Raw genomic sequence first — 27,112 nt, forward strand, 5'->3', positions numbered from 1 at the left:
ATTTTTAGTAGAGACGGAGTTTCACTATGTTAGCCAGACTGGTCTTGAACTCCTGACCTCATGATCTGCCCGCCTCGGCCTCCCAAAGTGCTGGGATTACAGGCGTGAGCCACCGCACCTGGTCAAAAACCTCAGTTTTTAAATTTGATTCTTACATGGAAAGATATCCCAATGTTGGCAGGTACTACTGACTGGCAAACCTGATCTTCAGTCTAACTCCCTCCTCCCTTATCTACCTCTACCTTATGGGCTATAAAAAGTAGAATGTGGCCAGGTGCAGTGGCTCACACCTGCAATCCCAGCACTTTGGGAGGCCGAGGCAGGCGGATCATGAGGTCAGGAGTTCAAGACCATCCTGGCCAACATGGTGAAACCCCATCTCTACTAAAGATACAAAAATTAGCAGGGCATGGTGGCGTGCGCCTGTAGTCCCAGCTATTCGGGAGGCTGAGGCAGGAGAATCACTTGAACTTGGGAGGCAGAGGTTGCAGTGAGCCGAGATCGCACCACTGCACCCCAGCCTGGGCAACACAGTGAGACTCCATCTCAGGAAAAAAAAAAAAAAAAGGAGAATGTGTGTTCCAGCTTCTCTTGCAGACAGAATTGGCAGTGGTTCAGTTATCACCAGTAAGACATAAATGAAGTCTGAGGTATTGTTCCTTCTCCTCTGTGTATTCTTTTATTCTGCCTGTAACACACATGCAATGGCTAGAGCTGTAGCAGCTATCTTGTAACTGTAAGGGGATAAGCAGAAAACAAAAACCAACATTTTAAGGCTGGAGGGGCAGAAATATGGAGGGATCCTGAGTCCATGACAGCATCCTTGAGCAGCTCTTCTAGCCTTGGACTGTATACCTTGGAAGTCCTTGCTATATGAGAAAAAATCCTCCCATTTACCATCGATTTAAGCTACTGTCATTGAGGTCTTCTATTACTTGCAGCTGAGTGCATCTCTAATGAGTACCTCATTTCATAGTCTGGTTATGAGGGTAAATGAGATTAATGTAAATCTCTTAGAATCTCCCAGAGTAAGTCCTCAACAGAAGGTTACTGTTATTATTGAAAGAATGCCTCCACTGGCCAGGTGCAGTGGCTCACGCCTGTAATCCCAACACTTTGGGAGGCCGAGGCGGGCAGATCACAAGGTCAGGAGATCGAGACCATCCTGGCTAACATGGTGAAACCCCGTCTCTACTAAAAATACAAAAAAAAATTAGCCGGGCGTGGTGGCGGGCGCCTGTAGTCCCAGCTACTCGGGAGGCTGAGGCAGGAGAATGGTGTGAACCCGGGAGGCGGAGCTTGCAGTGAGCAGAGATCGCGCCACTGCACTCCAGCCTGGGCAACACAGCAAGACTCCGTCTCAAAAAAAAAAAAAAAAAAAAGTATGCCTCCATTACCATCTATTTTCCCCCAGCCCTGGTCCTGTGGCATCTGAGCTTTAAAAGGGAAGAAACACAGGTGCTTACCTGTTTTTTTCATCAACCTATGCATTCCTGAGGAAATACTATCATATTTCAAAGATGCCATCATAGGCAACATCTTTCAAAAAAGCAAGAGAACTAGAGCACTGAGCCAAGGTATTGGTCTCTCCTATCTCCAGTCTTCTCCTCTATGTATACTGGATAAACACAACTCCAACAAAAAGCCTTCCCTGGGGCCCTTCTTTGCCCCTGCACTCATGAAGTTTCCCCCAAGTTAATACCTGAATGCCCTTCCTTGGCTCTTCACAAGCTGCTTTTCTCTCCGTCTTCAAGCCTCAGCTCCCAAGACCCCTCCTCATAGAGACCTTCCCTGGTGACCTTTTCTTTTCTTTTCTTTTCTTTTTTAGACAGAGTCTCCCTCTCTCGCCCAGGCTGGAGTGCAGTGGCGCGATGTCGACTCACTGCAAGCTCCGCCTCCGGGGTTCAAGCGATTCTCCTGCCTCAGCCTCCAGAGTAGCTGGGACTACAGGCACCTGCCACCGCGCCAGGCTAATTTTTTGTATTTTTAGTAGAGCGGGGTTTTCACCGTGTTAGATAGTCTCAAACTCCTGATCTCATGATCCACTGGCTTCGGCCTCGCAAAGTGCTGGGATTACAGGCATGAGCCACTGCGCCCAGCCCCTGGTGATCTTTTCTAAGGCTGCTTTCTCCACTATTCTCCATTTCCTTTTATTTTTAAATTTTTCTGTAGAGATGAGGTCTCCCTTTGTTCCCCAGGCTGGAGTGCTGTGGTGCAATCATAGTTCACTGAAGACTCAAACTCCTAGGCACAAGCAATCCCCACCTCAACCCCCGAGTAGCTGGGACTACAGGTACACACCGTCACGCATGGCTAATTTTTAAATTTTTTTGTAGAGACGGGGTCTTGCCATGTTTATCAGGCTGGTTTTGGACTCCTGGCCTCTAGCAATAAGACTGCCTCAGCCTCCCAAAATGCTGGGATGACAGGTGTGAGCCATTGCACCCAGCCTACTCTCCCATCTTACCGTCCTGCTTATTTTCTCTTGTAATTATCTCATTTATTTGTTTGTTTGTTGCTTGTCTTGCCTTTAAGGCTGCACACTTCATTTGAGCAGGATCTTATCTGTTTTGTTCACCAATGCACCTGGGCACATAGCATAGTGCCTGACACTTAGTAGATGCTCAATTAATATTTGTAAATTCTTTTTTTTTTTTTTCCTTGAGACAGTCTCACTCCGTCACCCAACCTGGAGCACAGTGATGCAATGTTGGCTCACCGCAACCTCTACCTCCTGGGATCAAGGGATCCTCCCACCTCAGCCTGTGGAGTAGCTGAGACTACAGGCACGTAGTCCCACACCTGGCTAATTGTCGTATTTTTTGCAGAGATGGGGTTTTACCATGTTGCCCAGGCTTGTCTCAAACTCCTGAACTCAAGTGATCTGCCCACCTTGCCCTCCCTAAATGCTGGGATTACAGGTATGAGCACCATCATGCCTAGCCAATATTTGTTAATTCGTTAACCAAACCTCTAAAAGCTCAATGAAGTTTTAGTTCTAGCCTAAAATCTATGCTGGTAAAACAGGATAAATTGGTGGCTTATTGCTCACATGTCAGAAGGCTCCTTTGTTTTATAAAAAGATTCAAGGCAGATTTCAAAAAGAATTAAGCTTCACTTTCAAAAATTCCTTTTATGTTCAGATTTTCAGGAACATGGAAACGGTATTACAGGAAGTGATCTACATCTTATCGCTCCCACATGTGCAGCATTTAATATGTAAAGATTGCTAAAGATGCTATGTCTCCCAAACTGTGTGTACTTCTCATTAAATGTTTTTCTGTCTCCTTTCATTGGGAAAAGCCATAAAATGGCAAGGCAGGTGAATAAACAGCAGTGACAATTCTTTTTTTTTTTTTTTTTTGAGACGGAGTCTCGCTCTGTCGCCCAGGCTAGATAGAGTGCAGTGGTGCGATCTCGGCTCATTGCAAGCTCCGCCTTCCGGGTTCATGCCATTCTCCTGCCTCCGAGTAGCTGGGACTACAGGTGCCCGCCACCACGCCAGGCTAATTTTTTGTATTTTTAGTAGGGACGGGGTTTCACCGTGTTAGCCAGGATGGTCTCGATCTCCTGACCTCGTGATCCGCCCGCCTCGGCCTCCCAAAGTGCTGCGATTACAGGCATGAGCTACCACGCCTGGCCTGTTTTATTTTATAATTGTATGAAGAATAAAGTAAATTAATGTTTATAATAACATATGGTATAGAAATTCCTAGGAGCTGAACTAAAGCAAACTAAAAAACAAACAAACAAACAAACAAACAAACAAAAAACTTATAATGAGTATTTGTGAGTTAGGCATATTTTATCTTTTAGTATAAAATACAAATATAATTTTGTATGGATATCTCTAGTTAATTTTCATTCATTGATTACTCCTTACATCACTTAAGTCAGCAGGTTCATTTCCTTTTGAAATATGCTGATGCAGAAAATAGCAACTAACTGAGCCAGTTTTGTGACCAAAGATAGCTAGTCACAGTGGAGCTAGTTGGGAACAGAGCACAAAGCCCTGACTCACCGTGTAGCCTTTCCTCGTTGTGAAACCTTTCTCCTTCCTGTTTACATTTTCACTTCAGCCAACATATATTGCGTACCTAGAAGGGGGCTAAACATAGCACAAGGTAGAAACCAATAAGGCCTGGGCTGTTTGGCTTTCCCTCCCAGGACTCATATAGTAGGATCTTCCCTCTAACACAATAAAGGAATTTGGATTTTGTGCAGCTGCGAAAGGACAAATGCCCACTGCAGGGCTAAAACTCCAAGCAGAAGTTATCAAGTGGAGGCAAACATTTTGCTTCTTGGAAGTTGCTCTTTATTAGACTTTGGTGGTAAAGATATGTTAGTTCCAACTACAGATTAAGATGTTTATGGTCTCTTACAACCATATTGTTTAGCATTTCGTGTTTGGACTTTTTGCAAGTAACTTACAAAAGAAATTGATTTTTTTACACAATAGCAAAGAGGATTTGTTCGTTTATTTATTGAGATGGAATCATTCTGTCGTCCAGGCTGGAGTACAGTGGAGTGATCCCGCCTCACTGCAACCTCTGCCTCCTCAGTTCAAGCGATTCTCCTGCCTCAGCCTCCCAAGCAGCTGGAATTACGGGCACCCGCCACCACACTCGGCTAATTTTTGTATTTTTAGTAGAGACGAGGTTTCACCATGTTGGCCAGGCTGGTCTCAAACTCCTGACCTCAGGTGATCCGCCCGCCTCGGCCTCCTGAAGTGCTGGGATTACAGGCGTGAGCCAGTGTGCCCCGCCTGTTTATTTATTTATTTTTTGAGATAGGATCTCTTCGGCTGGGCGCGGGCTCACGCCTGTAATCCCAGCACTTTGGGGGGCCGAGGCGGGTGGATCACGAGGTCAGGAGATCGAGACCATCCTGGCTAACAGGGTGAAACCCCGTCTCTGCTAAAAATACAAAAAATTAGCCGGGCATCATGGCGGGCGCCTGTAGTCCCAGATGCTCGGGAGGCTGACGCAGGAGAATGACGTGAACCCGGGAGGCGGAGCTTGCAGTGAGCCGAGATCGCGTCACCGCACTCCAGCCTGGGCGACAGAGCGAGACTCCGTGTCAAAAAATAAAAAAGAGAGATAGGATCTCGCTCTGTCACCCAGGCTAGAGTGCACTGGGGTGATAATGGCTCTCTGCAGTCTTGACCTCCCAGGCTCAAGCGATCCTCCACCTCAGCCCGCCTCAGCCTCCTGAATAGTTGGGACTACAGGCGTACGCCACCATGCTTGGCTAATTTTTAATTTTTTTGTAGAGATGGAGGTCTCACTTTGTTGCCTAAGCTGGTCTCAAACTCCTGGGCTTAAGGGATCCTTTTGCCTTGGCCTCGCAAAGTGCTGGGATTACAGATGTGAGCCACTGCACTCGTCCAAGAGCATTTAAACATACATTAAATCATACTGCTACCCAAAAGATTTCTTCTAAGTATTCAAATTTTCCTAACCTCTAATCTCTGTGGCTTCTCTGAGTGTGGCTGTAATTCACTGGATAATAACAACAAACACATAGGCTTAATAAGTGCTTTACATGTATATTAACTCAATCCTCCCAACGACTGTAAGTGTTAGAGTTTATTATTATCTCCATGTTACAGATGAAAAACTAATGCCCTTGAGATCAACTACTTTGCTTAAGGCCACGCAGCTCAGAATGGCAATTGGACCCCAGTAGGCCCCAGAGCCTGTATCATCAGCCACCACAATATACAAGCCTAATTAGCTCACATGAGAAACTTTGCATAATGCCTTTGAAAAATTTAGTTTTTCCCTTACATTGTTTTCTGTTCTGATCTATTCACATGTTTAAGCCAGAAAAACAACGTTATCTCAATCATTAGGAATACAGAACTAGGAAACATTTAATATCTATTATGCAGTATAACCAAAAGAAATCTTGAAAAAAAACACAAGAGAGGTATCTTTTTTAGGCCTCAGAAGGACTTAGGGAAAGGGAAAATGTCCTTTCCCTTTCAATTATAAAGGTGATGTTTAATTTCTTGGGAGAGGGTAGTCTTGTCATTTTTTTTAGTCATTTTTTTAAATGCAGCTTCTCACCTTTTTTTTTTTTTCAGACGGAGTTTCACTCTTGTTGCCCAGGTTGGAGTGCAATGGCGTGACCTCGGCTCACTGCAACCTCCACCTCCCAGATTCAAGTGATTCTCCTGCCTCAGCCTCCCTAACAGCTGGGATTACAGGCATGCGCCACCACCCCTGGCTAATTTTCTATTTTTAGTAGAGACGGGGTTTCTCCATGTAGGTCAGGCTGGTCTCGAACTCCCGACCTCAGGTGATCCACCTGCCTCAGCCTCCCAAAGTGCTGGGATTACAGGCGTGAGCCACTGCGCCCGGCCCTTCTCATCTGTTTTTTACAGCTCACAATACTATAAAGAAACAAACTGACATTAAAAAATGAACATGAAAGGATCCACCCAATCTGAATTTAAAAGAAGACAAAAAACATAGGGTTTTTCAAAGGTAAACAGTAACCACATCACTCCTGAGCTTTTATTCCTGCATTATGTAAATCAGAAACTCTAGACAGTCTAATCAAGTCAAATTATGCTCATCACACCCGAAAGCAACCATTCTGAAGTATCTCATTTTTTCTTCTTGCTCTCAATTCTACCTGACATTCATTGTCTGGTGTTTCCTTCCATGTCTGTAAACTCTATTTCTGCACCTTTCCGTATAGTCTCCTTTTATTGCTTGTCATTACAGATGTTTTTCTTACTCTTAATCTTTCACTTAATTTCCCCCCAGGCCTTTGCTACTCAGTTCTTGCTTTATTGAATTTTAGTCATTCATGATGTATTGCATTTTCCCCTGGAGATTCTAGTTTGAGTCATTTGGAAAGATGCTCTTTCTTTAAAACTACCTATTGGGTACCATACTAGCTACTTGGGTGATGGAGTCATTTATACTCCAAACCGCAGCATCACAAAATATACCTCTATAACAAACCTACACAATCCTGCAGTAAAATTTGAAAAAAAGAAAAAAAAAAGTAGGATAGTCTGGAAAATTATCACTGATGAGCTGATTCTTGAATAGAAATATGAAATCATTCAAAATGTTTTAAATGTATCATTTAAAAAATAATTTTGGCTGGGCACAGTGGCTTGTACCTGTAATCCCAGCACTTTGGGAGGCTGAAGTGGGAGGATCGCTTGAGCCCAGGAGTTTGAGACCAGCTTGAGCAATATAGGTAGACCCTGTCTTTACAAAAAAATTAAAAATTAGCCAGGTGTGGTGGTGAACGTCTGTAGTCTCAACTACTTGGGAGGCTGAGGCAGGAGGATTGCTTGAGCCTGGGAGGTCGAGGCTGTAATGAGCCATGACTGTGCCACTGCACTCCAGCCTAAGCAACTGAGTGAAACCCCATCTCAATAATAATAATAATTGGCAGGCGTGGTGGCTCATGCCTGTAAGCCCAACATTTTGGGAGGCCGAGATGGGTGGCCCACTTGAGGTCAGGAGTTCCAGACCAGCCTGGCCAACATGGTGAGACCGCCCCGCAATGTCTACTAAAAAAATACGAAAATTAGCCAGGTGTGATGGCACATACCCGTAATCCCAGCTACTCAGGAGGCTGGGGCAGTAGAATCACTTGAATGCAGGAGGCAGAGGTTGCAGACAGCCAATATCGCACCACTGCACACTCCAGCCTAGGCCACAGAGTGAGACCCCGTCTCCAAAAATAATAATAATAATCCTGACAATCATATTTTTATTAAAATGAGTAAGTGGATTAGATGGGGAGAAAAGGTGCTCTTTCTTGATAACTGGCAGACCGAGGTGACCTCTATGTCAGGAGACGATTGTGGCATTGTCCTCACCACTGTTCGCCAGCCATCTTTGTCTCTGCAGGGGCGGCACAGCTGGAATTCTGAAAGAACCTGCTCCTCTAAAACATAGATCCCAGATCTGAGCTTTAAGGGCCTTTGTTAAAATAAAATGTGTTTTTCCAAAGGGATTAGCATTTTACACTAGTAATCCTCTCACTCAGCTTGGAGGGCACAGAGGAAATGCAGCACAAACATGAACATCTTGAGGAGGCTCGTTCTTGGGATGGGTGGGTTGTCATGGGAGGCATATCTAGAACAGGTATCAGAACCCGAGGGGCTGGAGATTTGATCAACCAGGAACCAGTATCAGGTGAGTAGGCTCCAGGCAGAATGCACAAAAGGAAAGTGTGGAGTACAAACAAGAAGAATGAAGCTGGACCAACTGCTCTGGGGCTCACTTATTAGTTACATATATTGGGAGCTGTTTCTGTGGGAGAAATGGATCCTAACATTCCCCAGCTGTCCCGCCACCTCCGTCAAACCTCAGGAAAGCAGCGTAAAACCTGCTTTGTAGAAAGAAAATTTCTTCCATAAAGTGAGGCATCCCGTTGCTTTAATTATCCCAATACTCAGAGTGAAAATATGATCTTATATGTTTATTTGCCTAAAACTTAACTCCAGTTGTCACAACAAAGCAAAGTGAAGGAGGAAGTAAGACCCAAAAACATATTTTATAGACAGCTGCCATCTGTCTTGATGAAACTATTAAAGCCTCCTCAAGAACAAGCCTCTTGTCCTGATTCTTATCTTCTGTTTTATCCTCTCCCACTTTTCATCTGTCCCTCGGCTCAAATGACAGTGATTACAGCCATAGTAGTAAACTCTGAGGAGAAAGAGACTAATGGGAATTTCCTTTTTCCAAGGCAGCACAATAGAGGAAATCCTTAGGTTTTTTGGGGAGCAGCTGTCATTTCCACCAGCCAACCTAGTCAAGGACATGTGTTCTCTGAATACTCTAGCAGCAGGTCACAGATTCATTGAACAAAGGTGGGTTCCCACCTGTGGGCTCCTGGGCTGTGGGAAAGAAAATAACAATGGTGGAAGTGTTGAGAGACTTGGTTTCATTCTTCCCTCCCTTACATATCACTTGACCCTGATGGCTTGATTGACTTCACCTCCCTTAACATTAGTTTGCTTATCTATAAAATGAGGTCAGTAACCTGAGCACAAACTGCCTCACTGGGGTGACGTATTACTTGACGCACATGAAAGTACTTAGAAACATATTTCATACACAAAATAGTTTCAGTAAATTTTGTAAGGCAACCCCAGTAAGAAAATCCCACAAATAGGAATTCCTGATTTTGTATACTGCAGTGATTTCTGTATTCCAGAGGGGAACAGAGGCCTTTCTTATTTCTTTTTTTTTGAGATGGAGTCTCGCTCTGTCGCCCAGGCTGGAGTGCAGTGGTGCGATCTCGGCTCACTGCAAGCTCCGCCTCCCGGGTTCACACCATTCTCCTGCCTCAGCCTCCCGAGTAGCTGGGACCACAGGCGCCCACCACCACGCCCGGCTAATTTTTTTGTATTTTTAGTAGAGACGGGGTTTCACCGTGTTAGCCAGGATGGTCTCGATCTCCTGACCTTGTGATCCGCCCGCCTCGGCCTCCCAAAGTGCTGGGATTACACGTGTGAGCCACTACGTCTGGCCTCTCATTTCGATAATATGGTTTTTTTGCCCTTTGGAAAATTACCCTTGGAAAAATGAGGCAGGAAGCACAGGGAGGGGGAAAGCCCCTTCCTGAAGGCCTACTATGTGCCACGTGCTCTCCTAGGCACTGTTAAAAATGAATAAACCCCTTTAATCCTGGCAAAATCTCCATGTGGGAGACAGTGTAGTGTCCTTATCCCCACTTTAGAGGAGGACTTGTGGGGAGGGGGTCTAACTTTCCCACAGTGAGAAAGGGGTGGAGGTGAAGCCAATCTGCCTAACCCCAGGATTCTGCCGCTGGACTGTGCTTAACTTGCTTGCTGATCTACTGGGGAAAGGTGATAGCAGAGTTACCAGCGGAGCAAAAGTTACACACAAAGCACCTATTTATTTTTCCCCAAGTGGCCTTTAATTAGTCATGCTTTTAGCACAAGATAACCTTTGATTGTGCGTAGCAAGGTTCATTTTGAATAGGTTCAGCTTAATAACGTCAATACTGCTCCACCTTCATTGAAATATTTAACAAAATATAATCTGAGGCTGGGTGCGGTGGCTCATACCTGAAACCCTAGCCCTTTGGGAGGCCAATGTGGGAGGATCACTTGGGCCCAGGAGTTCAAGACCAGCCTGGGCAACATAGTGGGATCCCTGTCTCTATAAAAAAATTTTAAAAATTAGCTGGTGTGGGCCTACATTCCTGTAGTCCCAGCTACTTGGGAGGCTGAGGTGGGAGAATCATTTGAGCCCAGGAGGTCAAGGCTGCAGTGAGCCATGTTTTCTCCATTGCACTTTAGCCTGGGCAACAGAGAAAGACACTGTCTCAGAAAAAATGAAAAGATATAATCTGATGTGAGAAATCCTATAGGTGACCTTCTGTTAACAGTTGGGAGCTGTGGGTTCAGATTTTTGGTCCTGCCTCATGTCTACTCTATACATTATTTTCTATGCTTATTTTCGTCATTGGCAAGAGCTGGCATTCTTAGGAAATAAAAAGAAGTTATGGCACTATTCACCCTTCTTGGAGAGTTTTTAAATACAGTCAACCCTCCATATCTGTGGGTTCCACATCGGAGGATTCAACCAACCTCGGATTGAAAATATGCAGAAAAAAATATGGATAGTTGCATCCGTACCGAAAAGGTACAGGCTTTTTTCTTGTCATTATTCCTTCAACAATATAATATAACAACAATTTACACAGCATTTACATTGCATAAGGAATTATAAGTAATCTAGAGAGGATTTAAAATATACAGAAGCACGGCTCACGCCTGTAATCCCAGCAATTTGGGAGGCCGAGGCAGGTGGATCACCTGAGGTCAGGAGTTTGAGATCAGCTTGGCCAACATGGTGAAACCCCATCTCTACTAAAAATACAAAAATTCGCTGGGTGTGGTGTTGCACACCTGTAATCCCAGCTACTTGGGAGGCTGTGGCAGGAGAGTCACTTGAAACTGGGAGGCGGAGGTTGCAGTGAGCCAAGATCGAGCCACTGCACTCCAGCCTGGACAACAGAGTAAGACTCTGTCTCAAAAATAAATTAATTAAATCAATCAATAAATAATATATACGGAAGGATGTGCATAGGTTATCTGAAAATACTATGCCCTTTTATATAAGGGACTTGACCATCTGTAGATTTTGGTATCTTTGGGGCAGTCTTGGAAACAATTCCCTGTGGATATGGAGGGACGACTGTATATCTATATCGCAGAGGCAATGGCTTCTGTCCTGCCTTCCCTTACACGGCTGCCATAGCTCTAGTAACTTCCCCTAGATTTTCTCATGCCCCCAAACTAGCCTCTTAGAAAGACTTCATTGTGGGAAAATAGTCAGTGAATTCCAGAATTATAGATTTAAATGGTTTGAGGATAAGCAACAAGTCTGGTCTAGTTTCTGCTTGCTGAAAAGGGTAAACTGTGCAGATGGGCCACCCACAGATGGCCCAGATTTGGATTCAGCAGGGAGAAGTATTTACTCAAGATCGTCTGAGCAAGAACTGTATCTGGTGGAATGTAGCCAAGACGTAGGAAAGCTGCACTGAGCACCCTGAGAGGGTGCCCGGAGTAGGCAGGGGATCCATCTGTGAGGACACGGTGGGAAATGCCATGCCAGATTAGGCTGGGCAGCCCCCATGCTGAATACTCTTAGGGGTGCTTATCTCAAGGCCAGCTGAGGGTGGAAGGAATGGAGGCTTGCAGGGGACTGTACTGAGGCTGCGCAGGTAGTTGTAAAATGAACAAGATAGATTGCATAGTGAAATCAAGGGAGGGTGGCAGGAAACAAAAGCAGCAAAAGCAGCAATTCCTATATGCAGCAGGCTTTACGCTCACCATTCATCAACAATCAAGCAAACAAAAACGCCCCCAAATACCAATCACGGCACGGTTTGCATTAAGTTCTGTGAGTGTGCATTGAGTGTTTACCCTGTGCAAGACACTGTGCTAGATGCAAAAACAAGTTTAAAAAATCTAATAAAGTAAGCAAATAAAGGGCAGAAAGGCTAACAGCCCCACTGCGGGCAACAAGCCAAGAGGAAGTTTCTGTGCATAGCATTCCCTCAACTGACCTGACTGCCTGGGCCAGAGATGCCCTGTCTTTGTCCTGCGTCTGTCTGGGTTACTCAGTAGGCACTTTCTTCGTGTTTTGCATCTTATACTCAGCTCATTAGTGTATAATAAAATACTTACCGAGAAGCTCCTATGTGACAGGGAGTTGGAAGATATAATGAGGTAAGTGTGTATTGAAACATATCTAGGCATAGAAAAAGTACAGTAAGTCTGGGCATGGTGGCTCATGCTTGTAATCCCAGCACTTTGTAAAGCCTAGGCGGACGGATCTTTTGAGGTCAGGAGCTCAAGACCAGCGTGGCCAACATGGTGAAACCCTGTCTCTACTAAAAACACAAAAATTAGCCGGGCGTGGTGGTGCGTGCCTGTAATCCCAGCTACTCGGGAGGCTGAGGCAGGAGAATTGCTTGAACCCAGGAGGCAGAGGGTGCAGTGAGCCAAGATTGCACCACTAAACTCCAGCCTGGGTGACAGAGTGAGACTCAGTCTCAATTAACAACAACAACAACAAAAAGATACAGTAAAAAATACGCTATTATAATTTTACGGGACTGCTGTCATATATGTGGTCCATTGTTGACCAAAAGGTCATTATGCAGCACACGACTGTATTTTGTTGTGGATCTGCATCAGTACAGGATGTTTCAGGTCCTGGGCCCTCCCTTTCTACCTTGATCACAGACTACAGGGATGGTCTCAAGATTAGCAGGAGGAAGGTTTGTTTGTCTCATAGACTGTCCAGTCTGAAGAATGTGTGAGGCCTAGGCCCACCAGGGGCCCACAGCTGCTCTGGTGCAGGAGGGCCCGGGACAATGCCTGGTGTCTGCAGGAGGAGGGCAGAGGGGCAGAAAAGGCCCCTGGAAACATAAAGGAAGAAAAGTGGGAGGGAGACCAGAAGTCGATGGAACTTATAGTAAGCATCTGAATGGAAAGAGTTCTGTGTGATCTGTGTGAGTGGCAGGGGGGTTGGATGTGAAAATTAAGACTCATTTCTGTCCTCTCTAGACATAGGGTGTGTTTAAGCTGGGTTACCACTAAGACTGTGTGTTCTCTCAGGTGATTAAGTGATACCCACACAGCCTCCAGATACTGCCAAGCAAAACGTATGGGTAACATGCTTATTTTGCTCCATTGAGACAATTGAGCTTCTCATGTGTGGGGTCCATGTTTCATTCATGATTTCACCCTATACATGTTACCTAGTTTATAGTTCATAGAGATGCTAAATAGATGTTTGTTATTCTTGTTGTATTAGTGTGAGGAACCCACAAGACCTACCTTACAAACTGAATAGAAAATGCCCACAAATAAAGAATAATGTTATTCTAACATGTAAGTCTAGTGCTCATTATTAATGAAATTGGAGTTCAATGAAATACCCACATGGCTTAGAAGAAATAGTTAAAGATGACTCTGTGGAACAGATAAGCAGCAGAGAATAATCAGAATTTGGCTAGGCAACATGGAGGAAAAAGTGATTCCAGGGGCTGGAAAATCATGAGCCAAGTTTATTAAGCATGTTCGTGAGCCAAGGTCACAAAGTTTTGTGTAGAGGAATAACAAAAAATATATTCTACTCACGTCTGCAATCCCAGCACTTTGGGAGGTTGAGATGGGAAGCTCGCTTGAACCCAGAAGTTCAAGATCCACCCTGGCAACATGGAAAGACCCCATCTCTACAAAAAAATTATTTTAATTAATTAATTTATTTATTTTTAGTATTTATTTATTTATTTTGAGACGAAGTTTTGCTCTTGTTGCCCAGGCTGGAGTGCAATGGCGCAATCTCAGCTCACCGCAACCTTCGCCTCCCTGGTTCAAGCGATTCTCCTGCCTCAGCCTCCTGAGTAGCTGGGATTACAGGCATGCGCCACCACACCCAGATAATTTTGTATTTTTAGTAGAGACGGGGTTTCTCCATGTTGATCAGGCTGGTCTTGAACTCCCGACCTGAGGTGATCCGCCCATCTCGGCCTCCCAAAGTGCTGAGATTATAGGCATGAGCCACCGCGCTCAGCCCAATTAATTTATTTTTATATAGACGGGGTCTTGCTTTGTTGCCCAGGCTGGTCTCAAACTCCTGTCTTCCAGTGATCCTCCTGCCTTGGCCTCCCAAAGTGTTGAGATTACAGGCATGAGCCACCGTGCTCAACCCAAAACATTTAAACAGTAGGCAGCTGGGTGATGCTTACCTGTAGTCCCAGCTATTCGGAGGCTGAGGTAGGAGCATTGCTTGAGTTCCGGAGTTGAAGGCTACAATGAGCCATCGTGGTGCCACTGCACTGCAGCCTGGGCAACAAACTGAGTCTCTGTCTTTAAAAAAAGTACATCTAGAAGACTGGTCTATTGTGTTCACCTGGATGGAAAGATGGTTTTCTTTCCTGTCATAACCTAGGGTCTGGGCTATTGTGGGAGCCTGGTTTGTGTTTGTTGAGAGAATGAATGAATATATGATTGTCTTATTGAATAATAAATGTATCACCCGTCCTCTTTCATTCCAAAGAACAAGTGACATGGGTCTCTCTCTTCTGCCCCTCTGTCTTTCCTTTTTAAATCTTCTCTGCTTTTCCATCTTTGGATTCATTGCCCTCCGTCCTCTCCCTCCCGTCCCTCTTGCTCTGTTTGGAGTCTAAAGTAGAAGCATAGGAAGTGGGCTAGAAGGCAGCACATCCCAGGGCCGTCTGCGACTTCTCTGCATGCAGAGACAGATGGCAGTCTCTGCAATTACTCCCCATCATTTCCTCCAGCGATGCTCCCAGTCAGACTCCAGGAAGATGCCAGAACTGTTTTTGCCTTACAATACTGCCGGTCTCCAGGCTCAAGCTACTGCACTAACTACATTTTCCAAAGTAGGATAATTTTGTTATCAGAAAAAAATATATATTAGAAAAAGAATGCTGTACCTTCTTGTCTGTTCATGGGCATCATTATTTTCTGGCAAGAATTTCTTTTATATTTTCAAGTAATTTAGTTTGAATCAACTGTTTTTTTTTGTGATGGATGCTATTAGAATAAGTATTGCCCATGAAAAGCTTTATTTGTTAGAGTTAATTAAGTCTTATGGCAGAATTTTGAGGCTGGTTGATGAATACATTTTGTACAGCTAGAGAATAAAATCAAATTGGATGTTTTTCTTCATGATTAAATACACTTACATTTAGTTGGCTTTTCCACAAAAACAGTAAAGCACAAAAAAATCCCAAAATAAACTAAAAATCCCACATAATCTCACCCTACAGCCATAACAATTTGATTTATGCCCCTTTCATCTTTCTTCCTCCACATTTATTTATGTGTTTTGTTTTTTTTTTTTAATGTTTTGAGACAGAGTCTTGCTCTATTGCCCAGGCTGGAGTGCAGTGATGCAATCTCTGCTCACCACAACCTCTACCTCCTAGGTTCAAGTGATTCTCCTTCCTTAGCCTCCCGAGTAGCCGAGATTACAGGTGTGCAACACCATGCCTGGCTAATTTTTTGTATTTTTAGTAGAGACAGGGTTTTGCTATATTGGCCAGGCTGGTCTCAAATTCTCGGCCTCAGTGATCCTCCCTCTCTGGCCTCCCAAAGTTCTGGGATTGCAGGCATGAGCCACTGTGCCTGGCCCATTTGTGTGATTTTAAGTTGAAGAAAAGAAAATAAACTTTCTTTACCAGTTAAGCAATATATCAATTAACATTTTGTCAGCTACATAGCATTTCCTCTGTGGATTACCACAGGTTTTTTGTTTTTTTTTAAATCTCCTATTTTTTAGGATTAACTTTTTAAAAAATAGAGATGAGGTCTCATTCTTTAGCGTTGAAATGCTTTGAGTGTGATTTGATGTGTAAATAATATTGTGGTGAACATTCTTATTCAAACATCTTAGTCCATTATCTATTTTCTTATGGTAAAATTATTTAATGCAGAATTTCTGTGTCTAAGGATATATAATTTTAAGATTTTTGTTACATATTTCTGCTTTTTAGTCCCTTTTATAAAACTTGCAGTTTTGCTCTACCTTTAGAAAAACAATGCCAGCACAAAGCAAATTGTGAAGGCCCAAACCTTCTCTGCTCTTTATTTTGTATTATTTACTTATTTTTAACAGACAGGATTTAGCTCTGTTGCCCAGGATGGAGTGCAGTGATGCGATCATAGCTCACTATAACCTCAAAATCCGGGGCTCTCCTGGAGGTGGGGGGCATCCCCTGCCCGGCCAGCCACCCTGTCCGGGAGGTGGGGGGCGCCTCTGCCTGGCCACCCCGTCTGGGAAGTGAGGAGCCCCTCTGCCCGGCCACCACCCCGTCTGGGAGGTGTACCCAACAGCTCATTGAGAACGGGCCATGATGACGATGGTGGTTTTGTCGAATAGAAAAGGGGGAAATGTGGGGAAAAGAAAGAGAGATCAGATTGTTACTGTGTCTGTGTAGAAAGAAGTAGACATAGGAGACTCCATTTTGTTCTGTACTAAGAAAAATTCTTCTGCCTTGGGATGCTGTTAATCTATAGCCTTACCCCCAACCCCCTGCTCTCTGAAACATGTGCTGTGTCCACTCAGGGTTAAATGGATTAAGGGCGGTGCAAGATGTGCTTTGTTAAACAGATGCTTGAAGGCAGCATGCTGGTTAAGAGTCATCACCACTCCCTAATCTCAAGTACCCAGGGACACAAACACTGCGGAAGGCCGCAGGGTCCTCTGCCTAGGAAAACCAGAGACCTTTGTTCACATGTTTATCTGCTGACCTTCCCTCCACTATTGTCCCATGACCCTGCCAAATCCCCCTCTCCGAGAAACACCCAAGAATGATCAATAAATACTAAAAAAATTTAAAAAAAGAGAGAGAAAGAAAGAAATTTTTAAAATATATATGTATTAGGCCCTGGAAACTGCAAATACTTTCCTGGTCCCATTCATGAAAGGGCTCCACTTTGAAGTCAGTAATGTAATCAAGAAACGAACTAAGTATCTAACAAGATTAGTCTCCAAAATACAACTTTCTAGCACTTAGCGGGCTACTTTGAAACTCTATGTAAAATAAATTTACTTCTATAAAGGAAATCTCCATTTGTAAGGACATCCCCCTATACCAAAGCAGCTAGAAATCTTTACAATGGGAAAGACACTGGCTTAAAGTTTACGTAACAAACCTTACCTATGTTTAAAGATACTTTTCCTGGCAATCTTATCTTGACTGATTCTTTTTGTTTCAGCAAATAATGGTATATAGATATACGTTCTATGCCTCTGGGGGTATCAATTTTCACCTAAGAGTAATGTTTGCAATTTAGGGTTACCTAGCTAAACAACTGTTTAGGGCAATGAAATAAGTAATCAAGGAACTGGTAGTCTAAACAGGGAGAGATTATCTGCAAACTGGCAAATGAAGAATCTTATAAAGCTATAAGATCTGTTTCTGTCAAAAAAAAAAAAAAATCCGGGGCTCAAGTGATCCTCCTGCCTCAGCCTCCAGGGTAGCTGGGGCCACAGGTGCATGCCAACATGCCCAGCTAATTTTAAAATTTTTTGTAGAGATAAGGTCTTGTTTTGTTGTCAGTGCTGGTCTCTTGAACTCCTGGGGTCAAGCAGTCCTCCCGACTTGACCTCCCCAGGTGCTGGGATTACAGGTGCCTTCTCTTCTCTTTATCACATAAAAACTCATTCTCTGGAAGTAATCTGATAAATTAATTCTCACAGAAACGTGAAGCAGGGAAGATGCTCACTGCGTGAAGTTGGGAGCAGCATCGGTCCTGCCCAGTGCTGTGCATGGGTGACTTGATCGCATGAGACTTTGGGCCGAGAGGGGCTTTATTCATACTCGCTAGCAGAAGGAGTAGATGCAGTGCCCTGTTGGCATAAGTCATAGGAAGTAACTTGATGAAGGGCGAATGGCTTTCTTATTATGCAATTTCAGCCCACTGAGAGGAAATAAGGGGATATATATTTTGGGTGAGGTGAGGACAATGCACCTTTTTTTTCTATTTCTGGAATCTCATTTCATGGATTATTAACTACTCTGCCTACTAATAAAGAGAGGTTAGTGGGGAAAATAGTCTTTGAAATCTCAAACTTAAGCATTCCACTGTCTGACCATAATATCCTCTGGCCTGCTTACCCAAAAGCTTAAATTCCAAATATTCCTCTCTCATCGGGACTACCAGTTTATTGAGCATCATTTATCAAATGTTCTTCTGATTCTTCTTACCCAGCCTTAGACTCCAAGGTCCAACACTATAATCACTTCCTTGAGAACCACCCTTGGCCAGACACAGTGACTCATACCTATAATCCCAGCACTTCGGGAGGCCGAGGTGGGCAGATCACTTGAGATCAGGAGTTTAAGACCAGCCTGGCCAACAGGCGAAACCCCATGTCTTCTAAAAAAATACAAAGATTAGCTGGTTTTGGTGACGTGTGCCTGTAGTCCAGCTACTTGGGAGGTTGAGGCACAAGAATTGCTTGAACCCCGGAGGTGGAGGTTGCAATGAGCCAAGATCCTGCCACTGCACTCCAGCCTGGGTGACAGGGCAAGACTCTGTATCAAAAAAAAAAAAAAAACCACCCCGACTTTGTTCCTTTGTTCTCTCTCCATTTGTTTACCTACCTGACACAGCCCCGTCCTTCAGCATAACCACACTTGTGCAAATGAATGTTGCAGATAATTGCACAATGGTGCCACTAATGTGAAACATAGATTTCAAATGGACTCTGGCACTTCCTGGAAACCTCTCACATCCCCCTGCTCTCTAAGATATTTATATCATGCCTTTTCCTCTCTCCACTTACCTCATTTTCCATCTTCCTCTTAATTATTCACTCTCAACTGATGACGTGGCCTCATAATTCCTTAAGAATATGGAAACAGAAAGGAACGTCCTCATCATCTCACCATTAACCACCTGTATCTGTGCTCATGTTCTTGCCTCCTGTCCTATGAAGGTAGAGGGTAAGTGTCCTCACCCAAGCACAGATGAACCCCACCTGTCCTCTGAATGTCACCCTTTCTTGTCTCCTGAGATCTGTCTGCATTGTCCCCTCCTCCCTCTTCCTCAGTCAGTCTCATCAGCATCTTCTAATCTATCACCTGTCATCCTAAAGTCCCCCACCCTACACTGAGTTCCCTTCAGCTACCATCTCATTTCTTTACTCCCCAGTCAAAAAAAAACTACTGGAAATCATTATCTGTGCTCTGTGTCCCATTTTTCCTTTCTTTCTTTTTTTTCTTTTTTTTTTTTTTGAGATGGAGTTTTGCTCTTGTTGCCCAGGCTGGAGTGCAATGGTGCGACCTTGGCTCACTGAAACCTCTGTGTCCCGGGTTCAAGTGATTCTCCTGCCTCAGCCTCCCAAGTAGCTGGGGTTACAGGCGCTCACCACCACAGCCGGCTAATTTTTGTATTTTTAGTAGAGACGGGGTTTGGCCATGTTGGCCAGACTAGGTTGTGAACTTCTGACCTCAGGCGACCCACTTGCCTCGGCCTCCCAAAGTGCTGAGATTACAGGCGTGAGCCACGACGCCCAGCCTTGTGTCCCATTTTTTTCAACCTCCATTTTCTTTCAAATTCACTCCAAGGCTTCTGTCACAAAAACTAAACTCTATGACAACTTCATCCTTACTGGACACAGCTGACCATTCTATCTGGGGGACACATGCTCTTCTCTTTCACCTCCCTGACACTCCCTGGTCCTTCTTCTGCCTCCCAAGTTTCTTCTTCTTAGTTGTCTTTGCTGGTTCCTGTCCTCTTCTAGAACTCTAAATGTTGGCGTGCACCAGGGCTCTCTTTTCCTTCCTTCCCTCTTTCCAGAAGTGGTCCTGTCTTGGAAACCCATGGATTTCAGGAGCATCTGTAGTCCAGTGACTCTTAAATCTCCATCTCTCCCATGATCTCTCCCCTGAATCACAGACTTACTTATCCAGCTTCTTCCTTGTCATATCCATTTGTAGGTCTAACAGGTGTCTCAAAATTAACATGCCCAATATGGGAGGCTTGATTTTCCTCCAAAACTCTTTCTCCGCATTTTTTCATATCTCAAGTAGTGGTGCCCAGCCCCTTCCAGCCGATAGGCTAAAAGTCTCCAGGTTATCTGTGGCTCTTCCTTCTCTTCCTCATTCCCTATATCCAGGGCATCAACAGAACTTTACCCTGAAGTTATACCTCGAATCTGTCAGCCTCTCTGCATCTCTACTGCTAGCTTTAGTCTAAGCTGTCCTCAATTTTATTCTGAACAGTGGAAGAGCAACTTGACCGTTTCCCCTTTCATTTTTGTCCTTCTTCAATCCATTCTCCAACTAAGCACCCAGAGTGATCCTTTCTTTTTTTTTTTTTTTTGAGACAGAATCTCACTGTCTCCCAGGCTGGAGTGCAGTGGCGCGATCTCGGCTCACTGCAAGCTCTGCCTCCCGGGTTCAAACCATTCTCCGGCCTCAGCCTCCCGAGTAGCTGGGACTACAGGCGCCCGCCACCGCGCCCGGCTAATTTTTTGTATTTTTAGTAGAGACGGGGTTTCACCTTGTTAGCCAGGATGGTCTCGATCTCCTGACCTCGTGATCCACCCGCCTCAGCCTCCCAAAATGCTGGGATTACAGGCATGAGCCACCACGCCCGGCCCAGAGTGATCTTTTAAAAAAGTTATTGAACCCATGTTCCTCGCTTAAAACCCTCCAGTGGATTCCCACTGGATTTAGAATAAAGTCGAAATTCCTTACCTCACTCTACGTGGCCCCACAAGATCTGACCCCTGCTTCCCTTTCTGACCTTGTGCCTACATTCCAGGCATACTGACCAACTTGCTGTTATTCAAACATGTGAAGGGCAGATATGCCCCTGGGCCTTTGCACTTGCTGTGCCCTCTGCCTGGATCATCCTATGTAAACCAGTTCAAGCCTACCATTCATCATCTGTACCATTCATCATCTATACCATTCATCGTCTCTACCACTCATTGTCGGGTCACGTCTTCACAGCTCTTCACTCTAACATATTCAACACAGTATCCTACTCTCAGTAGGCACTCAAAGAAAATTTTTTTTTTGAGACAAGGTTTCCCTCTGTCACCCAGGCTGGAGTGCAGTGGCACGATCTTGGCTCATTGCAACCTCTGCCTCCTGGATTCAAGTGATTCTCCTGCCTCAGCTTCCCAAGTAGCTGGGACTATAGGCACATGCCACCACGTCTGGCTAATTTTTTTTTTTTTTTGTATTTTTAGTAGAGACGAGGTTTCATCATGTTGTCCAGGCTGGTCTTGAACTCCTGAACTCAGGTGATCCACCCATCTCCAGCCTCCCAAAGTGCTAGGATTACAAGTGTGAGCCACCTCGCCCAGCCAATAAATATTTTTTGAAGAAATAAGTGATGCTGTGCAATGAAGACTGTTTGTTGGTTGACTCATGATTTAATTATTTTCCAGTAAAGAATATGTTTGGCTCAGGTATGCTGGCTCACACCTATAATCTCAGCACTTTGAGAAGGCAAGGTGGGAGGATTGCTTGAGGCCAGGAGTGCAAGACCAGCTTGGGGAACATAGCGAGACCCTGTCTTTACAAAAATAAGAAAAGAAAATATTACCTGGACATGGAGGTGCATGCTTGTAGTCCCAGCTACTCTGGAGGCTAAGGCAGGAGGATTTCTCAAGCCCAGGAGTTTGAGGCTGCAGTGAGCTATGATTACACCACTGCACTCCAGCCTGGGTGACAGAGAAAAACCCTGACTTATTTTTATTTTTTCTCGAAGTCAGGGAATAAAAACCCTGTCTCAATAAATAAATAAATAAAAGCATATTCTTGGGCATCTATCCAAAACTGAAGCAGGATTAAAGTTGAGAGGAACAGCAATAGAGTTACAAATAGTATGTTGACATCATTTCATAGCCAGCTGTTTTAAATGCTCCTTTTGAGATAGTTCCTGACACTGTAATAAAATGATAATCTAGCCACCATCCCCTAATCTATCCACCTCCCACGGTTGACAGGGTAGACCTCTGATACCCCTGCCAAAGTGGCACTCTTCTGGCCCATTGAAGTCCAACTTTGTGAAGAGTGGGCAAGAATGAAGGGCAGATTGCTCCCGTACCATCCATTAAATTAAAAAAAATTAATTCATATATTTTTCAGTGTAGGATTTCTATACGTTATTTTCCAGTCATTTAGCTTTTTTCCCCTAATAATATACTGTTCCCGCCCTATAGGTTATATTTTTTCCTTCAATATTTTAAACACGATTATTTTTGGGAGCTAAGCTATGAGGACGCAAAGGCATAAGAATGACATAATGGACTTTGGGGACTCCGGAGGAGTCCATGAGTTAACGGATCATTCCCATTCATTAACTCTAGTTCTTGGATGGGAATGATCTCTTTTGTGATTCTTCCTTGTGCTACTTCCTTTCCCAGATGGTTTTAAATTTTTACCTATGAGCTCATCTGTAGTAGGTATTTTCCACCAATTTTCTCTCAGGAGCCACATTCCTCGGGTTGTATAGTTACAAGAAGTTACAGGAGGAGCTGGTCAGCTGGCTGAGGCTTCTCAGGACTGCTTGTCCAGTTAGAATGTTCTGGTCTCAGTTTCACAGATAGGACAATTCCTTGGCTTTATACAGGGAACTCTCCTCACACAGGTTTGTGGCTTCATCTTTTTTTTCTTTTTTTCTTTTTTTTTTTTGAGATGGAGTCTCACTCTGTCGCCCAGGCTGGGGTGCAGTGGTGCTGTCTCGGCTCACTGCAAGCTCCGCCTCCTGGGTTCACGCCATTTTCCTGCCTCAGCCTCCTGAGCAGCTGGGACTACAGGTGCCAGGTACCACACCCGGCTAATTTTTTTTTTGTTGTTGTTTTTTTTTAAATAGAGACAGGATTCCACCGTGTTAGCCAGGATGGTCTTGATCTCCTGACCTTGTGATCCGCCTGCCTTGGCTCCCCAAAGTGCTGGAATTACAGACTTGAGCCACCGCGCCCGGCCAGCTTCATCTTTTGACATGAGTGAACACTATGTATTTGATCTATGATCATTTGATGTATGAACAAGACCCCAGCTCCACACTCCTGAAGTTTGAGTTCCAACACCCTCTTTATCCATTCACTTTTACACTTGCACACTACTTGCGCACTATTTTGTTCATTTCTACCCCCAATTTTTTTCATTCAATAGATATTTATCAAATGCTTACTAATGTGCCAGGCATGATTCTAAGCCCTAGACCATCAGCAGTGAAGTAAATAATGTCTTTTCCCTGAACAATTGTGCATTCAAGAGGTTTCTCTTTCTCCTTCCATGCTCTAAATGTACTAAAGACAGTCCTGTTATATTTGATCTTGCATGGTTGTGTGTTTGGAGCGTGTGGGTTTGTGGAGGTCCTATGACGGAGGTAGCTCAACCTGCAGTAATACCCAGAGGTCACCCCTCCCTTACATGTGACCCTGCGAAGTATGCTCCTGGCATATCTTAAAGACTGTGAAAATATTTCTATCCAGAGGCAGCTGGGTATAACTAACTGTTAAGAAAATGAAGTCTGGAGCCGAAATGCCGAGGCTCAAATCCCAGACCACTTACTAGCTGTGTGGTCTTGGACAAAAGGAACCCTCTTGGTTCCTTAGATTCCTCATGTGGAAAAGCAGCCCAATAATAGTATCTCCCCTACATGCTTATAGAAAGGATTCAGTGAGTAAACGGCTTAGGACAGGAGCTGGCACATTATAAGTACTTATGAATAGAGGCAGCGTAAACATCAATGACCCAGTGCCAATCACAAGGCTCTAGGACTAGTAGGTGTTGGAGAGGTGTTTCTTGTTGCCTTATTTGTTGTATTTGGTTTCTGCTACCTGCACACCTTGTGGGTCAGGACCTGCTGGTGAGATGGCCCATCACAGCAGTCCACCAGCCTTGCTGGGCTGAGTTGTAAGCTGGAGCAAGGTGGGGGGCCCGGAAACCAAACCAAGTTCAAACCAGGAGAATGTCTGAAGCCTCCATGGGGACTGTGTTAGTTTGCTGGTGCTGCCACATAACGAAGGATCACAGACTATGTGGCTTAAGCAACAGACATGTATTACCGTCTGAGATCAAGATGTTTGTGGGGTTGGCTTCTCCCAGGGCCTCCCTCCTCGGCTTGCACATGGCCACATTTTCCCTGCTTCTCCACGTGGTCTTCCCTTTGAGTCTGTGTCCTAAACTTCTCACAAGGACAGCAGTCATTTTGGGTTAGAGCTCACTACAGTGACCTCATTGTAACTCAATTACCTCTTTAAAGACATAACCTCCAAATACAGTCACATATTAAGGTACTGGGGGTTGGGGCTTCAACATATGAATTTTGAAGGACACAATTCAGCCTGTAATAAAGACAGAATGAGTTTGGCCAATGCCTTTTTTGTCTGGGAGTAGATATTGAAGCTCACACCTGTGTATACCTGTCTGCTCTGGGGATGCCTTCGTGGTACCGAGGGATTTTTTTTTTTTTTTGGAGATGGAGTTTTGCTCTTATCTCCCAGGCTGGAGTGCAGTGGTGCGATCTCGGCTCACTGCAACCTCTGCCTCCCAGGTTCAAGCGAGTCTCCTGCCTCAGTCTCTCAAATAACTGGGACTACAGTTGTGTGCACCACGCCTGGCTAATTTTTGTATTTTTAGTAGAGATGTGGTTTCACCATGTTGGCCAGGCTGGTCTGGAACTCCTGACCTCAAGTGATCTGCCTACCTTGGCCTCCCAAAGTGCTGGGATTAACAGGTGTGAGCCACTGCGCCCAGCCAGCCGAGGGATTTCTTTAACATAAATACTCTTCCCTTCAGTCTTGAAACTGGCTAAAACCCTCCTGCTCATCAAAACACAGAGTAAATGCTTCTGTGTCCACAAAACCTTTTCTGATTCCTGTAATCCACCTTCCCCTGTACCCTAACCTCACTGCACAGCAAGCATCGCACTCTCCTTGAACTCAGAGGATAGCATGCTGTCTGTCTCTTCCCTATGAACACGTTGCTTATACTGTGGTTGTTCACATTCTGGTACTGCTAACACATCAGTTAGCAGTAAACATCCTGAGGGCGAATCTCCATCTGATTCATCTTTGTTTTCTCACAGACATTGCTCAGTAAACATTTGTTGAAGGAATAAGTGAATGATAACAATAGCAACAAAACTGGCATATATTTTACACCTAAAGTCAAGTATCGAGAAGTTCCCCAAATCCATGATCAATACTTGACTAATTTTAAGACATAATGTGCTTAGCAGAATTTTTTCAGCTCCCCAGAGTAAATGCTTCAAGGCCAGGCACACCTGTAATCTCAGCACTTTCAAGGCCAAGGCAGGTGAATCACCTGAGCCCAGGAGTTCGAGATTAGTCTGGGCAACACAGCAAAACCCTATCTCTACAAAAAATACAAAAATTAGACAGGTGTGGTGGCCTGCACCTGTAGTTCCAGCTACTTGGGAGGCTGAGTTGGGAGGATCAATTGAGCCCAGGAGTTCAAGGCTGCAGTGAGCCACTGCACTCCAGCCTGGGTGACACAGGGAGACCTTGTCTCAAAACAACAACAACAACACCCCCACCCCACAAAAGAGAAAAACAACAAAAATGTTAATGCTTCAAAAGCCTGCCTTGTGGGGCAGAGGAGGCACGTAACTAATGCATACCTTTATACAGGCCAATGAATACCTCCGGCAAAAGAAAATATCATGCTCTAAGGGTGTGTAATTTTCAAGGACTCATGCAAGCGGTCCATAGAAGAAGTGAATTGAATTAGAATTTATTTATTTATTTATTTTGCAGTGACTAGCCTAATCTCTACAAAAAGTACTTTAAAGGCTATAAAAGTAAATTCTTTCTGATTTTTTTTCCCTTTTCATTTTAAAGGGAGTTCCCAGAATTTGACTCTTGTTTTGAATGATGTCTTTGTAACAAACTTCCTGTGTTGACAAAGGACACGCTGAATTTCTGTTACTGTGGCTACCACAGAAATGAGAGCAGTTCCAATCGTCTCACTGAATTAAGGCCTTTATACAATTTCTTTCAAGTTTTCTAATTTTTATTATGTTTGTAGCTCTATAATATACAACCATAAAACAAGATAATATTACTATAACAATAATAAACAACTGTATCTCTATATATCTCTATATAATACACAAATAACACAGTAACAATACTTTACAACAATAACTCTACAGCATACCACTATAATAAACATTTGAAGTGACATGTGGGTTTTTTTTTTTTTAACTTCCCCTAGTCTTTGGACTTATTTTGCTTTAAATTATTTATCAACAAAGGTCTGAACACTTAATAACCTCTGCCTTATGGTGATACATTTCCTCATTATTTTAGTTTTGTATTATCAAAATAGAGTGAAAATGAGACAAATTGTCTCTGAACCTTAGCTATGCAGGAGATCAATCTGCTTCTACTTCATAAAAGTTGTTCAAATGTCACTGACAGGTTCTAGTAGAACCAGGGACATCAAAGTGTCTATTTAAAAGCTAAAGTGATTTTAGCATGACCATATTTTAAAATGCAAATGAATTTTTTCTATTACTCTAGCTAAAATGGCTTCTCATTATCATTATGTTTTTATATTTTTATGTTTTCTTTGAGAAGGAATCTCGCTCTGTTGCCCAGGCTGGAGTGCAGTGGCGCAATCTCAGCTCACTGCAACCTCTACCTCCTGGATTCAGATGATTCTCCTGCCTCAGCCTCCCAAGTAGCTGGGATTACAGGCGTGCACCACCACGCCCAGACGATTTTTGTATTTTTAGTAGAGATAAAGTTTCCCCATGTTAGCCAGGCTGGTCTCAAACTCCTGACCTCAGGTGATCCACCCACCTCGGCTTCCCAAAGTGCTGGGATTATAGGCGTGAGCCACGGTGCCTGGCCTATATTTTTACTTACAGCTTTTCTTTTTCTTTGCTGCCTTGTATTTAAAGGCAACAATCTTTTTTTACACAGCGTTAGAAATGCTCAACCACTTTTTGAAATGTTAACCACCATAATGCAGCCCAGATAAGAAACAAAATTAAGAGCCTCAAGAAATACAAAATTGAGAAACATTCCAACTAAAAACGTTTAAACAAAATAGT

At 44.0% G+C, this 27,112-nt stretch overlaps 2 annotated features.

The window, feature by feature from the left end:
- Positions 5,453-5,747: a silencer, noted in NCBI's record as "tiled region #4192; K562 Repressive DNase matched - State 5:Enh". NCBI's record gives its function as "represses a minimal TATA promoter and a strong SV40 promoter by Sharpr-MPRA in K562 cells {active_cell/tissue: K562}" and the evidence as "EXISTENCE:reporter gene assay evidence [ECO:0000049][PMID:27701403]".
- Positions 17,986-18,486: an enhancer, noted in NCBI's record as "H3K4me1 hESC enhancer chr18:3051522-3052022 (GRCh37/hg19 assembly coordinates)". NCBI's record gives its function as "activates a minimal SCP1, AML or CMV promoter by ChIP-STARR-seq in primed H9 embryonic stem cells {active_cell/tissue: H9 hESC(primed)}" and the evidence as "EXISTENCE:reporter gene assay evidence [ECO:0000049][PMID:30033119]".

The sequence above is a fragment of the Homo sapiens genome, chromosome 18, assembly GCF_000001405.40.
Source record: "Homo sapiens chromosome 18, GRCh38.p14 Primary Assembly".
NCBI classification, from domain to species: domain Eukaryota; kingdom Metazoa; phylum Chordata; class Mammalia; order Primates; family Hominidae; genus Homo; species Homo sapiens.